Source organism: Homo sapiens, chromosome 13, assembly GCF_000001405.40.
Source record: "Homo sapiens chromosome 13, GRCh38.p14 Primary Assembly".
NCBI classification, from domain to species: domain Eukaryota; kingdom Metazoa; phylum Chordata; class Mammalia; order Primates; family Hominidae; genus Homo; species Homo sapiens.
The window spans coordinates 98,974,218-98,989,827 of NC_000013.11; the positions used below are offsets into that span (position 1 = coordinate 98,974,218).

General features: G+C 41.1%; 1 protein-coding gene across 43 annotated transcripts in view; it reads right to left on the reverse strand.

Annotated features, from left to right (window-relative positions):
• Positions 1–15,610, reverse strand: part of DOCK9 (dedicator of cytokinesis 9) — a 295,191-nt gene that overhangs the window by 180,789 nt on the left and 98,792 nt on the right. For 14 of the 43 annotated variants that reach the window (NM_001366680.2, NM_001366679.2, XM_047430237.1 and 11 more), the window contains exon 1: positions 3,567–3,847. The exons of 17 other annotated variants lie outside the window; for them this stretch is intronic. In NM_001366680.2, coding sequence (NP_001353609.1) covers positions 3,567–3,692 — 126 coding nt within the window. In that variant the 5' untranslated portion in view covers positions 3,693–3,847. Of the gene's footprint in view, positions 1–1,626; positions 1,892–3,566; positions 3,848–4,096; positions 4,271–15,610 lie in introns of those variants that run through there. 12 more of the 43 variants (XM_017020513.2, XM_017020510.2, XM_017020508.2 and 9 more) reach the window with 2 other exon arrangements.

Consider the following 15,610-nt stretch of genomic DNA (forward strand, 5'->3'; position numbering starts at 1 on the left):
AACATGCAGACATCAAGAATATCCTGCCTGTTCCCCTGGTAGTGATTTCTAGCCCCCAAAGCCATTTCTCAGTGGGGTTGGCAGTAAGCCTGGATAGAAATGGGGAAGTTTCACCATGTGCTTCCTCCCTCACTTACTGTCACAATGCAGGGGACAAGACCCACCCATGTAGGTGCCTGTAAGTTGAACCTTGCAGCCTCTGAAACTTTATAATGTCCAAACACATATTCTCTTGGAAACACTAACTTTTAGCCGGTCGCAGTGGCTCACACCTGTAATCCCAGCACTTTGGGAGGCCAAAGCAGGTGGATCACCTGGGGTCAGGAGTTCGAAACCAGCCTGACCAATATGATGACACCACGTCTCTACTAAAAATACAAAAATTAGTCGGGCATGGTGGCATGCGCCTGTAATTACAGCTACGCAGGAGGCTGAGACAGGAGAATCGCTTGAACTCAGGAGGCGGAGGTTACAGTGAGCCGAGATCATGCCATTGTACTCCAGCCTGGGCAACAAGAGCAACTCTGTCTCAAAAAAAAAAAAAAAAAAAAAAAAAGAACAACTCCACCTCCAAAAAAAGAAAGAAAAAGAAATACTAACTTTCCCTAACACTGAACAAGCAGCCACTGCTAAGGGAAACCTTCAAAGCGGCCCTGGCAGAGGAGAAAAAACATTACCACCAATCATAAGGGCAGGAGGGAACTTATGATAGAAAGTTTCTAGAACAAATACTGGCTTGCCTACATGCTTTAAGATCTACTTACAGGTACATTTATGGTAGCCTCATTACTAATGCAAACAATTAGAAACAAATTAAATAACGATCCAATTATAGTACAGACCTAAAATGAGATAATATGCAGCCATTAAAATAATGGCATAGGCCAGGTGCAGTGGCTCACGCCTGTAATCACACTTTGGGAAGCCGAGGCGGGCGGATCTCCTGAGGTCAGGAGTTCAAGACTGGCCTGACCAACATGATGAAACCCTGTCCCTACTAAAAATACAAAAATTAGCTGGGCATGGTGGCGGGCACCTATAATCTTAGCTACTCGGGAGGCTTGAACCCAGGAGACGGAGGTTGCAGTGGGCCGAGATCGTACCACTGCACTGCAACCTGGATGACAGAGTAAGACTTTGTCTCAAAAAAAAAAAAAGGCATAAATCCACATATGGTGACAAAAGATGTTACTGACGTGTTCTGGGAGAAAATCAATCCAGAAATCTACCATAATAGTATATTCTCTAAACACATACACACACACACACACACACACACACACACACACACAAGTTATACTGTTCTAGGCACAGGAGAAAGTCTGGAAGTATATACACTGAATTATTAATAATGGTCACCACTGGAGAGTAAAAACAAGGACACTGTCTTTCCTACTGCTACACTATTTGCATTTCTTGTTTTTCCTACTTCTATACTACACGCATTAATTAATTTTATCCGTTTTAATTTATGTAATATTTTTCCCCAAGGACTGTTTCTGTACATAACTAAAAACAGCAAAACTTTATTTCAAAATGCTACCTCCTGAATAAAGCATGTTACCTACATTTAAACGTCTCTAGGTATAATGCATTCAAATGATAGACAGTCTTGGGGATTCTTACCAAGCCCGTGGGCCACTGACATTCGAACAATGAATAGTACTGCCACAAACAGGTTGCACAATGGTGTCTGCCTCCTTCTGAAAAATCATCTTGAGAAACAAGTTGCCTTTCCAGCAGTCTGTTGAACTCTTGTTTGCCAGTGGGCAGCAACAGCCACAGGTAAGAGATCTGCCCTCGGCAAAGGCCCTGCTGAAATATCCTTGCTTCCCTGATCTGACATTAGCTCTTCTTATCTTGTTTACCCTGCTGGAAGAAGAGAAACACTGCCCGATAAGAAAAAACTTCTGGTATCACTGTTGGCTTCCTCACTCCCTCACCCCTCTCTGCAGGTGCGCAGAGCTGAGATCACACTGCCACAAGCTGCTGGGCCCTGACAAGTGTTCCCACCAAATGCAGCTGTAGCCAGCACAGCTTTATCCATTGCAGTGGAAAAAGACCCCCAGAGGAACTGCCTGGAGTGAGATTTACCTAAACAAATAGCTAGGACATAAATGGCAAATTTCTTGAGCACTAGAAAGAGAAGTAAGTTTAAGAAGTCACTTGTGTGCTTAAAAAAAAAAAATTGCATAGCATCTTTCTACAGTGTATTCAGTCCTGTAGACAAATATTTCTACACAGCTGGAGAATCACTGACAGAAGATTTTTAAGAATATTCACAAGGGAACCTAAACCACACAACTTCCTCCAAGAAATCCTAAGTTACATCAGCTGCTTTAAGCAGTGAAATCCATACAGCCTGTGAGCAACCCAACAGAGAAGTGGGCTATTATATTGGCAGCAAGGAATCCAGAACAATGAATTACATTTCTAAACAATGTAGCAGAGGGTGAAGAAAAGAAACCTAAATCTCTAAGATGAAAATCTGCAGTGAAAAAGACCATGATATTTTACTAACTTTTCAGTTCAGGGTTAGCAATATAGTTTTGAAGGCAATAAAATATAGGGCAGTCTCACGAGTCACAAAGAAAGCAACTCAGTTCAAATCAAATCTGTTATAGGAAAGTTTAAGTTCAGATTCTTAGACATTAATTGAAAATTAAGTAAATTAGTAAGCAAACACTTCATGGTAACATCAACTGAACCTCCACGTTAAAGAAAAAAAAAAATCACTAAATAAAATCACTACATATCAGTTTAACAATCTCTTTAGCAGATAATTTGAAAGGCTCAATTGTCCCCCCTCTGCAGGGCATGTTGGTGGTTTTGTGCAGCTTGCTTAAAAAATTATGTGCCTTTATTGTACTGAAGAAATTCCGAGAGAAGCACAACCTACTCACTGATGATAACAACACAACCATTTTTCACATTCCTCCCCTCCAAAGTCCACCAAAGCACTTGGCTTTAGACAAATGCTGAGAGTTTAGCTGATGTTAAGAACAGAAACGTTTCTATCAGCTGGTTCACAGTTTAGGTTCTTCCCTACTTTATTCAAGGCAAACCTCCTGGTAAAATGAGTGAGAAGAACATATGTGATTTTATCCTTTCTAAACTATGTAATATTTCCAACAGTTATGTTCCTTAAAACCCCCAATGGGACCTGCCTCATTTTCTCAATAGCATAAATAACGTAGAAAAGGTTTTAATTTTGCAAAGCACATCTTTTTTCAACCCTATAGTTGCAATTAAAATATGCTTCCTGGGTTTACATTTGCAAACACTGCAGCTAGGTGGGACATAATTGTGAACAATACATAATTGTCCCATACAAAGAAACCTCCCAGAAACCATATTCACCCACAAAATGTCAACATTTCTTTCTTCACAAAGAAGAATCAAAGGGGAATCGAAGTCATATTACAGGGAAAGAGTGGAGTTCACAAGGGACAAGCAGAGCAAGTTTTGAAATCAAAGACAGGCAACAGGCGTCAACCCCGTCCACACGCACAATAAGAACCCAGCATTGGGTAGACACAGCAACACTTTGTACGAGACCCTCTTACCGGCACAGGGCCCGGGCTCTCTGCTTCCACTTCGCCCTGAGCTGCATCCTTGTATTGCAGGGGGGACTCAATCACCAGTTCCTTTTTGACACTTCTACTACTTGTCCTGCATTTATCAGCCTGCATTCTCGGCTGAAAACGCAAGTCAGAAAGTCTGCAACTGGAACAGCTGCGAGTCCCTGGCCGTGCAAGGCACAGGCATGCCAGTGGTCCAAGGAAGGAAAGGAAACTGGCTTCCCAGGCACAAGTGGTCAGCCCCGCTGGCTGGGTCTGCAGAGCCTGTGGGGTGGGAAGGCATGACAGCAAAGGCCAGCCTCCAGGGGTGTTACTACTCCATGCAAAAGGGGAGGCTCCTACTTGCTGGCCAAAGGAAAACAAACTCCAAGCTGAACAATACACAGTGTACTGCCTCTCTGATAAAGACCGGCTTTATTGTGTCTGTTCCACACAGCGTGGGCCAAATCAATCGGAATCAAAATACTGCAGTGTTTAAAAGAAAACCAGTCACAGTTAGACTCCTTCATAATTACCTTAAATCTGAAGCTCGTGGAGCTTAAGAGACAGCAAGGTTGTCTGCTTGTTCTAAAATTCTTCCAGTTTTGGAATGCTTTCATTTGTGTTATGGTTAAAAACCAAATGCCTGGCTGATGATTAAAGCAGGGAAGAGCTACCAGCAAGTATGTTCCCATAGCCTGCACCTCGTGGATACAGGTGGAGGAAATGAGTTTCACCCCGCATGACAGACCACAGCATGAAACACTTAATTTATGTACTATTTGATGCCAGAAAGATGAGGTCATCAAAACATTTTCATGGGATACCACATATCATAGTAAATGCATTTATTAAACAGAATATTACTTTAAGTCCAGATGTGTGGGTATCAGAAGGTACCCCCAGTACTAGGTGCTGAGAGGATCATACTAAAAGTATAAGGTAGAGTATCTCTCCCTTCAAAGAACTTCACATCTAGCTGGGAAGGCAAGAAGAGCAGACATCATAAATGACAAATTAATAAAATTAAGAGAGAGATGCACAAAAGCACGGGAAAATAGCTGGATCACCAACCTACGGTTCAATGGTGGTTTAGTAGCACCCAAAATATGTGTTCCTAAAAGTCTGTATTTTTATTATTTCCTCACATTTAACAGTGGAGTCTTTTTTACCTCTTGGGAAAAATTAAAACAGAGGTATTAAGGGATTTGTCTAAAAGTTATGTAGAAATGAACATTAAAGGGGGGATCAAATATTACTCTGTACTTCATGGATACCGCAGAGCTTTTCCTAGTTACTCTGAGTATTTCCTGGACATCAGGGAAGATTTAGTAACAGTAGACAACAAGCAGCAGCAGCAGCAGCAGCCGTAGCAGTAGCAGTAACAGCAGTAGCAGCAGCAATAGTAGTAGTAGTAGTAGTAGTAGTAGTAGTAGTAGTAGTAGTAGTAGTAGCAGCAGCGGCGGCAGCAGCAGCAGCAGTATTCAGTCAGTCAACAACGAGAGTAGTTATCATGTAGCAACAATAGGTGCCAGAGGAACTCTACCCAGGGAAATAACATAAACTATTATACAAGTCACAGGTAAAAGTCTCCCACTTTCCAGACAAAGGAACGCAGCCAGGAGGGCTCAGAGGAGGCAGTGGGGAGAACTGAGATGCCACCCAGTCCTCGCACAGCCGCCTCCCTCTCCTAGCACCTGCTGCAGCTGCTCTACTTCAAGAGTGAAGCTGAAGCTGGGTCTCTGCCACTTGAACACCAGGAACCCTTCTGAGTGTGAATATCAATTATGTAACGATCTCAAAGGATCAATGAGTCCATCAAATAAATTAATGGCTTCTATAATTTTTTTTAAACTACCCAATCTCTCAACCTTGGGTAGTCTTTCAGGGTTAATAGAAGTCCCCCTACCAAATCTGTGTTCCAAAATAATATTATCTATAAATTTTAAAAATCTTTCTTTGTAAAGTTACAACAGAAAAAACCCAGTAAGAAAAAACTCTCACTTACCTATAGAGTCGAAATTATAGTAAAGTAAAAACTTAGGAATGTCCTACAAATCAAAGAAAGGATGAAGCCACAAGCACAAAACAGACTAACTGAGCCTTAGTAAAGGACAGCCCAACCAACAACTCAGAAACCTTTTTGAGATGGTTCAGGAAGTTCTAAATAGTCCAGTTCTTCCTCAAATCCCCATCGCCATTAAGCCATCAGAATGTCTGGGCATTAATAAGAGAAATGCTATTCTATTTGTTATTGTTGTTGTTTGAGACAGGGTCTTGCTCTGTAGTCCAGGCTGAGTGCAGGGGCTCGATCATGGCTCACTGCAGTCTTGACCTCCTGGAGTCAAGGATCTTCCTGCCTAAGCCCCTCAAGTAGCAGGAACTAGAGGTGTGAGCCACTGTGTTCAGCCTACCCTATTTGTTGGGTCAAAATACCCTGGTATTCTGTAAGGAATGAGAAATGAACTTTAAGATATTTATTTGACAAACACTGTAAGTGCTGGCTATGGCCCATGCCTGTTCAAGCCCTACAAAGATTGTTTATTTAATCTTCATAACTCTATGTAATACTGTTATCCTCATTTGACAGATGAGGAAACTGATGCCCAGAGACGTTAAATACTTGCAGAACGTTATACAGAGAGCAGGGGCAATATGGATCCAGTGTACACACGCTTAACCATGATACTATGTTCAAACTGCTAAAAGGCACAATACCAATCACCAGTCAGCAATTAAAGACAGCAGCATCTGGCTTTAACCCTATCATGGAAGTGAAGAGGTAAAAAGGTCTTTAGATGGCCTTTAGCCTTTAAGTGCCTTGTGCAAAGCAGGTATTCATTTGATGGTAACTACTGTATTGTTGCTGTTCTCATTCCAACCTGAAGAAATTAATTTTAGTCTTAAACTCAGGGCTTTTGCTGTGTGATCTAAAATGACAATTCCACCAACCGTGTTGCTATCACACATTACAAAGCGCTTCAGCAACTTAGCATCAACCATTCTTCCCTCTCTGTGGCTTGATTATGACAGCTGCCTTCAAATATTCATTTTGAACCCCACATGTTCATGTCATGAGCCAGGCCTTCTTCTTGAAGTTTTTCTATATTTTTCAAAATGGTTAGCAATGACTATATTTTTGTTTTATGATCAAGGAAAACACTTTTAATTTGCTCTGAGTTTCCAAGTAGCCAGGACAAAAAGGAAAACATGATCAGTTCCATAATATATAACATCAAAAGGAGAAAATATATCAAGTTGTAAAGCAAGTAATTTGTTTTTTGTTTTTTTTTTTTCAAGGCAGGGTTTGGCTCTGCTGCCCAGACTGGAGTGCAGTGGTGCAATCTCAGCTTACTGCAACCTCCACCTCCTGGGCTCATGCAATCCTCCCATCTCAGCCTCCCAAGTAGCTGGGACTACAAGCACATGCCACCACACCTGGCTAATTTTTATATTTTCTGTAAAGACAGGATTTCACCATGTTGCCCAAGCTGGTCTCAAACTCCTGGGCTCAAGCGATCCTCCCACCTTGGCCTCCCAAAGTGTGGGGATTATAGATGTGAGCTACCATGCCTGGCCCAAGCAAGTAAAAATTTTTTTAAATGCCTCACACACAGATTTATGTAAAGGGGGACCATCAATGTGCAATATACAAGGCTGGCAATGTGTTTGCAGGAAATGCAGTGACAAAATTCACATAGCTATTTCCTACTCCCATCTCAGAGCAATATACTGAAATCCAAGATTGAGAACAGCAATTCTGAGAGCAAGGCAGTCATCTGAGTCCACCGCCTTCCAGCTGGCCCACCTTATGAAAGAAGCAAACCCTGAGGGCGTGGAGGAGAGAAGAAACTGCTGTCAGCTTTCCCATCACACAACTTCTCAGGCAGTGCTGGCGCTCTCCCCTGCTCACTTAGGACAAACCAACACTTTTGGAATCTGACTGTCAAGGAGAGTCACATGGCACCGCGTTTAACCTCAGATCCCAAGCCTCCAAATGGGATGTGGTTTCTCCAAAGGGCTCATGAGACTGATGTGTGAGGACATGAGGATGACATCCGGTTGGTGTGGCCACTAGAGGAAATGCCATTTTACCAGGACAGGAAGTAGGTGGCCACATTTTCCTTTCCAACATTTCAAACAACAAGGTGTATGTCCGACCCCCGATTCAACTTTCACAAACCTGCACTGAGCTCCTACCATCTACTAACCTTGAGTTCCTTCACACACCAGCTTGTTTAACCCACAACAAACATATCTATGAACACGTATGAAAGGTATAGAGTTTCACTGTTAAAAATGTTGTAAACCCTGTGGGGAAGAGGAAGGCTTCAGAAGCAGGATGGAATGAATGCTTCTGTAATGGGGTTCAGGTCTCAAATTTTAATATGTACACAAATTTATTATACAGCTCGGGTACTCAAAACCATGAAAACCTCACAGGAAATTTAAGAAATGTTCCAAGGGCAATTTGTGACTCAAAGGAAAGCTAACTTTAAATGCAAAACTCCATCTTCCTCTTCCACCCATAAGATGGACTTCCATCACACTCTGATTAGTGGAAGGAGTGACTCTCTCTGTAGAGGGAACTGCTACCCATGCCCAAGACCCAGTTTAAATACCATCTTCCCCAAGAACCCCTCCAGCCAGAATGAATTGGCTCCTTCTCAGTTAACCCTCTGAGCCTACTTTTTACCTCTATTATGGAGCTTTTCAGAGTTTACCTTTTATTAAGTTTGCCCCGGTAGAAGAACCCTTTAGTGAGACTGTTAATTCACTGAGGGCAGGGACTGTATCTTAACCACCTTTGAGTGGCCTTAGGGACTAAAAGCACTCACGATGTATTTGCTGAACTGAATGCTGATAGCAGGTTTGTCATCTTTGGCCCTAAAGTGAAATGGTGTATTTGTAAAAATATGCAAACATTTTCATTTGTTAAGGGCCCAAATTAAGGCAGAAGCTTTCAATTGCTTGAAAATAAAAACCCAACAATAGTTTATTCATAAATCAAAACCCAACAATTTTCACTACTACTAAAAATAAAAATGTTCCTTTCTCCCGGGTAAGAAAATTTTATTCTGCAAAATTTGCTAGACGTTTTTTGAGACGAAGTGTATTTGAAAACAGTAAAACTAAAGTTTTAAAATGTACAAATAAACGTGTTTTTAGCAATAAATCTATATAAATTTTGAAACTGTAGATACTGTAGCTAACCATAGCTAATAACCATCTGAGGAATAACAATACGAGGAATAAATCAATTATCTCAACCTAACAGAAGTTATTTACTGTCTTTATTAGGGGTTCTTGGCATATCAGAAGGATACTTATAACAAAGGCAAAAGAAAAATATGCATACACACACATATGTACACCTATATTACTTATATACATGTACTTGTGTATACTCCAAAGTTATCATTCCTTTTCTCTTGTTCTGGGGAAGTAGAAACAATAAGTAGAAATTAAGAAAAAATGCAAAAGAAAACAAATGACTAAAGATTTTCCGCAGTATACTGTTGCTGGTCAGCTTGCTGGCCAAAGAAAAGGGGCCCGAAAATGATCTGCCTTCTGAGAAAGACAAAAGCATGGAAGACAGCAAGACAGGCAGCAAAACAGAGAGCAGAACGGCACTGCAGACAACTGATTCAGGGAGTGAGGCAGGAAAGAGCCAGCGAGGGAGGAGAGAAAGCTACATACAGCAAGAGAAGATGTGGTGGCAGCCAGTGGTGGGAGGGGGAGACAGTTTCTCGACCACAACCCTTAGGGCCTCTTAGAAGAGTTAATATAGGAAAAGATACATCTGATATAAAGTCTCATGCCCTCCTCAATTATTATTATTATTATTTTTTTTTTTGAGATGGAGTCTCACTCTGTCACCCAGGCTGGAGTGCAGTGGCATGACCTCGGCTCACTGCAACCTCTGCCTCCTGGGTTCAAGTGATTCTCCATCCTCAGCCTCCCGAGTAGTTGGGATTACAGGTGCCCACCACCACGGGTGGGTAATTTTTGTATTTTCAGTAGAGACAGAGTTTCACCATGTAGGCCAGGCTGGTCTCGAACTCCTGACCTCAGGTGATCCACCCACCTCGGCCTCCCAAAGTGCTGTGATTACAGGTGTGAGCCACTGTGCCCGGCCTCCTCAATTATTTTTTATCATTACAGATTTAATCAAATAGTCACAGAAATGTAATCCACATTATCACCTAGTCTAGTGTCTCTTAGCCCAGAATCCAAGGCTGAATGTTAGGGAAGGTGGTCCACAAACCCTCTAAAATTACATATGAAATTGTATGTCTGTGAGTTTCCTAAAGAAAGGCCAAGGGAGTTCACCTAGTTCTCAGAAAAGGGACCATTGGAAGGTCCTTCACTCATAGAACAAGGAGACCGAGGCCTGGAGTGAGGAGCTAGAGAGCCAACCAAAGTTCTGTGGTACAAATCTCTTCCCATGGGCAGGTTCACATTCTATTTAAGGAGGGGTAACAACAGGAATTTAAACATCAGGCATGAGGTAAACAAACAACCAGTGGATGCCAATCAGCAGTGTCAACATGTGCACAGTCTACTCATTTGTTGACACAAGTCAGTAAATGGATCATTTGAAGCCTAATGCCAGTTGGACAACTCGAATTCAATAGTTGTATCTCCAAAACAGGGCAAATAACATAACCAATAAAAACTGTTTTCTAAGAACTTTAAAGGACATTGAGAAAATGCTCACACTATCACACACACAAGACTAAAAAAAATACAACAGAATGTAACTACTGATTACCTCTGGTACATGGTACTATTAGTGATTCTTTTTCTCTCTAAAGTCTTCTATATTCTGCAAGTTTTCTGCAAAAGCTTTCATCACTTCTTTAGTCAGAAATCAGTGAGCTGGATTATGAGATAATGGTATAGAGGAAGCTCATGCTGGGGTTCTAGCCACTCACTATGCCCCACAACAGCTGTGTGACATTAGAAAAAGTCACTTCACCTCTCTGGGCCCCACAGACTTTACCTGTAAAATGAAGGACTTACACCAAAAAAATCTTTCCAGCTCTATATATCTATAATATTAAGTATGAGAACTTTCCTTATTGATAATATCTGGGGAAAAACAAACCACTCAATGGAATGCACTGACCTACTATATACAAAAGAAAAACACAAAGACAAAAAAGTGGGTATCTTTCTAAACATGTCAGATTCTCATTTCCAACAGAGCAGGGGCTGAGCCAAGGAGCCAGCAGACAACAAGAACATAACAGAACTATAACGTGCTATCAGTGAAGAAGACTATGGGGGCAGGGGGGTGGGCAGTTGGGGGGGTGGGGCCTGCGCTCTCAGCTCTGGGAAAACCCACAGCACTGGCACAGCAGGGGGCAGTCCCTAAAGAAACCTCTGTTTCCAGATGAGGAAGCTAAGATGGGAGAGTCAGGCTGACGAAGGACACATCCCACTGTTTAGAGAAGGCTCTGTCTGCAGCCATGGAAGGTTTAAGAAGCTTCTCATTAAAGACAGCCCCACCCCCACCTGTAACATCCTCCCCCATTTCCCGGCCTTCATTTTTCCATAGGCTCTATCACCATCTGGCATCCTATTCTACTTTTCTTATTTAATGTCTGTCTAACCTTCCCTACCCGCAGGTAGAAAGCTCCACGAGGGCAGCATTTTTGCCTGTTTTGTTCATTGCTGTGTTCCCAGGTCCTAAAACACTACAGGTGCTGAGAAAATATACATTGAATGAATTTACTGAAGGCTCAGGATCCTCTCAGTTTGGAAATGGGGCTGTTAAGCTCTGGACACCAACGGTTTTTCTGTAAACTATCAATTTATTTTGATCGTGATAACAATAATTCAGTTAGCTAATGTCAATAATTTATTTTAGAGATGGAAACTTACAAAGCCAAGAGAAACATAATGTGCCTGGGATTTTTCTCAGGAAACTAAACTCCTGGTATGGGTTACCAAAACCTGGCCTCAATCTTGTTTCGCGTGATCTGTAACTGTTTTATCTCCCTTCCTCAGCTTTGAGCGCTGGTGAGGAGGGCAGGGGGCTATCCCCCTACCCCACCCCACGCCCGGCACAGTATTGTGTACACAGTAGGCAATCCATAAATGCTTGCTTCTAGAATAAATGATGAAGGTGCCTCACTTTGGTATGATTTATCACAGGAGTTCACAAGCTAGAATTTTCTCACTTTCCTCACTACATCACAAATGCTGAGGTTAAGGGCCAGAGAATGTATTCTTCGTGAAAAACATGATCAAAACTTTTTAAAAAGCGCTCAAGTTTTCCTTTCTAAATAAAATGCATCATTCAAGTATAACTAAAAGACAAATGTTCTTTTGTTCACTTCTCCCTGTCCAGCTCCCAAAGCAACCTAGCGGAAAACACAAATTGCCGCCCTTCAAGTTCATTGGTTTTGTAGACCTTATATTTGTATGTTAAACTTACTTAAAGCAAGTTCCTTCAGTGCTTACAAGGTGCAAAGCTGGTGGACCATCTCAATTTATAGGTGATGGAGATGGACCAAGCTGGCAGGAGTCGCAGTGTCACAGTTCACAGCAATTAGCTATCTAGCATCGGGGGTGGAGGGGACAGGCCGCCAGGCCAACTCTAGACTCGTACTTCTGCAAAAAGGAACACACTCTCAGGTTACAAGGGTAAAGTCCACCAGAAACTTTACAAAGGGAATTGTAGCATTTCCCCTAGCACTTCTGGCTGAATTTAGTTTGCATTTAGAAGACAATGACCGTGTATAGTAATAACAGCTCCCCAACAATCATCTGGAAGTCCCCTCTTCTAAAAAGCAATAGGTTATATCCCTTCCATAAAATAATATCATCAGCAGCAAAGATGATGTATCCCTTTCTCATCCTGCTGCCTAGAGGAGGGCCTTCTATTTCCTCCAAGCTCATTGTAACTGATTTCCTATGTGAACTTAAGAGACCGCCAAGAAATAGAAAACACTGCCAGATAGTTTTAGGGGCTCACACGTTGTTATTCCTGGGCCACACGTCCTAAGAAGTCAAACTTTTCCCCCTGGGTGCTTGTAAAATATGTAAGTAAACTAAATTAAACTTATTCACAGGTAGATATGCTACAAATAAAGGTGACTAGAGTTGGAGATATAAACATGGCAGGTGAGGAGGGTGAATGCTAAGGAAGGCCATCAAAGCCTCCCTTCTCTCTGCTGTCAAATCAAAGCACACATCATATAACTTAGAAGTAATCTTAGACTGTTCAGCAGCTTTATTAAAAGACCAAAGGTCACTGCAGCACCATCACCATCTTCACCACCACCACCGCCACCACCACCACCACCATCAATGGGTTTCTGTTACATTTCCAAATAACTTTCAAATTGCTTAAAGATTTGATTTTAAATGTTCTCATCACAAAAAAATTGATTAAAGTGTCAGGTGATAAATATTAGCTTGATATAATCATTCCACAATGTAAACACGTATCAAAACATCACATTGTATCCCATAAATATATACAATTATTTGTCAACATAAAATTTTAAAAAGAATTATACATGTAACACAACGGGTTTCATCTTCCCCTCCTGAACAAAGAAAAAAACTCTTCTAAGAAAAGTGTGGTTAAAAAAGACAGCGAGACGTTTAATCAAACTCTGAAAACTTGAACATTGGTGGATATGAACATTCCACTGGCCCATCTACAAAGAGCTAGGTCTTAAGCCCTTCTGTCGTTTCAAAAACAGGAGGTTAAATACAAAACAAGTGAGGTTTACGATGTTACATAAGCATTTAAGAACTCTCCAGACACGCTCTTCCATTTAGGCTTTGCCAAGACCTAAAGCTAGAAGTCAATACTTTTTTATTATAACTGCCACAGGTGAGCAAGAAAAACATTTAAGGGACCCCTGCACACACACTTGACATACATCCTTATTCAATTCAGTTCAATTTAACCCTCGATGCTCTTATGAATTAAATAGCTTATCAAAAGTTCACATAGTTACTATGCTTTGGAGTTATGTTCCAAAATTAACATAACTGGTAAATAATAGATCCAAATATTTTTAAGTTTTGTTTCAAACATAATTTTGTCTCCTTTTTGAGCATATATCTCCTTTGGGAGAGCCACAAAAAATATTGGAGAGTTGTCCAAGGCCTGAAAGTATTAAAAGATAACAGCATATAAAATTTTTTTTAAATTTAAAAAATAAAAACATTAAAAAAATTTAATGTTAACAGTAGTGTGTCAGAAATGTGAAACAAATGGCTTTTATTTTCCCTTCTTTCTACTTATCTGTATATTTAAAATTTTCCTTTAAAAGTATCAATTACTTTAGGCACTTTAAAAAAAATTTTTAAGTTATTTATTACCACTTGGGAAGTATTTTAAAATAATGTCCAGGAAAGTAGCAAATGCTTACAGGGTGCCTCCTTCAGAGCTGGGACCAGAGGCAGGTGAGCGAGGTATTCATTTCGGGAACAAAATATACAAGAGCACTAAAAACTCAGTAACTGAGATACTATTTTAATGAAATACTTAAATTTAAAAATAATACCTTCCAAAAGCCATGATAAACAGTCAAAACTTGAAATAAAGATAGGAACAGTATTCCAAGTTATTTTCTTTTGCCTCAAGTTCCAGTGGTACTGGGATAAGCACTGTATCTGGTCCTCCGTCCACCCTGAGACAGGTCTCTTATTTTACAAAGGAGGACAGCGAGACACAGAAGTTAAAGAACCGGTTCAAGGTCAGAGCTGTCACGTGGCAGAACTACTTTAAACAGATTCTTTAGAGGTAATTTTTACATTCCTTGACCAGACAGACAAAATCAACACCCATTTTTAAAGGTACAAGTGACCAGATCTTCAAATACCATCCACTGTTACTATAAAGACTTAAAACTGAAGCTCAACGTTCTTCTTCTTTAGAAGATAAGTAATACAGGGCAATCTGGGCAGAGGACCCAAACCCTACTGTATTGAAACCTTTTTTATTTTATTTTCTTGTGCACACATAAATGAAGCTCCTCATGGTTGAAAAGTATTGAACAGAGGGAGGAAAAGAGGAAATGCAGATGCAAGAGCAGGGATTCCTCCTCCCACATTAATTCCCCCGTGAAAGAAGTGGGGAAGGAATCTGGAGATCTCGCTCCCAGGGTAGGACGGCATCCCCATGTGCTGAACGGCAACCACTGGCCCGGGGCCACCCTTCAGCCACTGTCTTCAGGGCTGACACACCCTGGCCCTTCCTCACCACTCCCTGCCTCAAACCTTTGCAGTAAGAACACTGTGTTGCCTCCTGAAGCCTCACCTCATGTCTCCAGAAATGCTGTCAATCTGCAATGTTCGCCCACCTCTTCCTGATCTTAACCTGTCAAATGCCTACTCACCTTGGAAGGTTCTCCTCTTTCATGAGACCCTCCAGAATATTCCATCCCAAAGAATATTTTCCTCCTTGGTACTCCAGCAAAAGTGAGGTGAAGCCAAGACCCCTGTCTTGTAAGGGTTGCCAAACCTAGTTCTGCCTCAAGTCATTTTGGGAGCTTGAAAATTAATAATAATGATGATGATGATGATGATGATGATGATGATAATAATAATAATAATAATAATAATAATAATGATAATACAGATTCCAGGACCTCACCCAGAACTTCTGAATCGGAATCCTGAACTGAGCCTCAAGGATCTGAATTTTGCACAACTTCCCAGGTGAGACCTATGCTGCAGGCTTTTACCCACCCATGTTTCGGAATCACTGATCTTAATATAACTTAAGATACAGGAAGAACACCCACAATGTTTAAACACAGATCCAAGACAAGGAAACACGAATGGGTTCCCAGAAATATCTCTGCACAGATATGACACATATGAGGGTATTTGGCTGAAAGTGAGAGGTGGAGTGGGGTAGAGATTGAAGCCAAAAGTTTACCATCCTCCACAGGACAGAACACACACCTTAGCCTTATTCCAAATGCCATGGTAGACGTTGACTCATTAATGACTGATCATTTTCTATTTAACTGACTTTTTTAGAAAAAAGAAAATTTTATATAGGGTTCATGCTA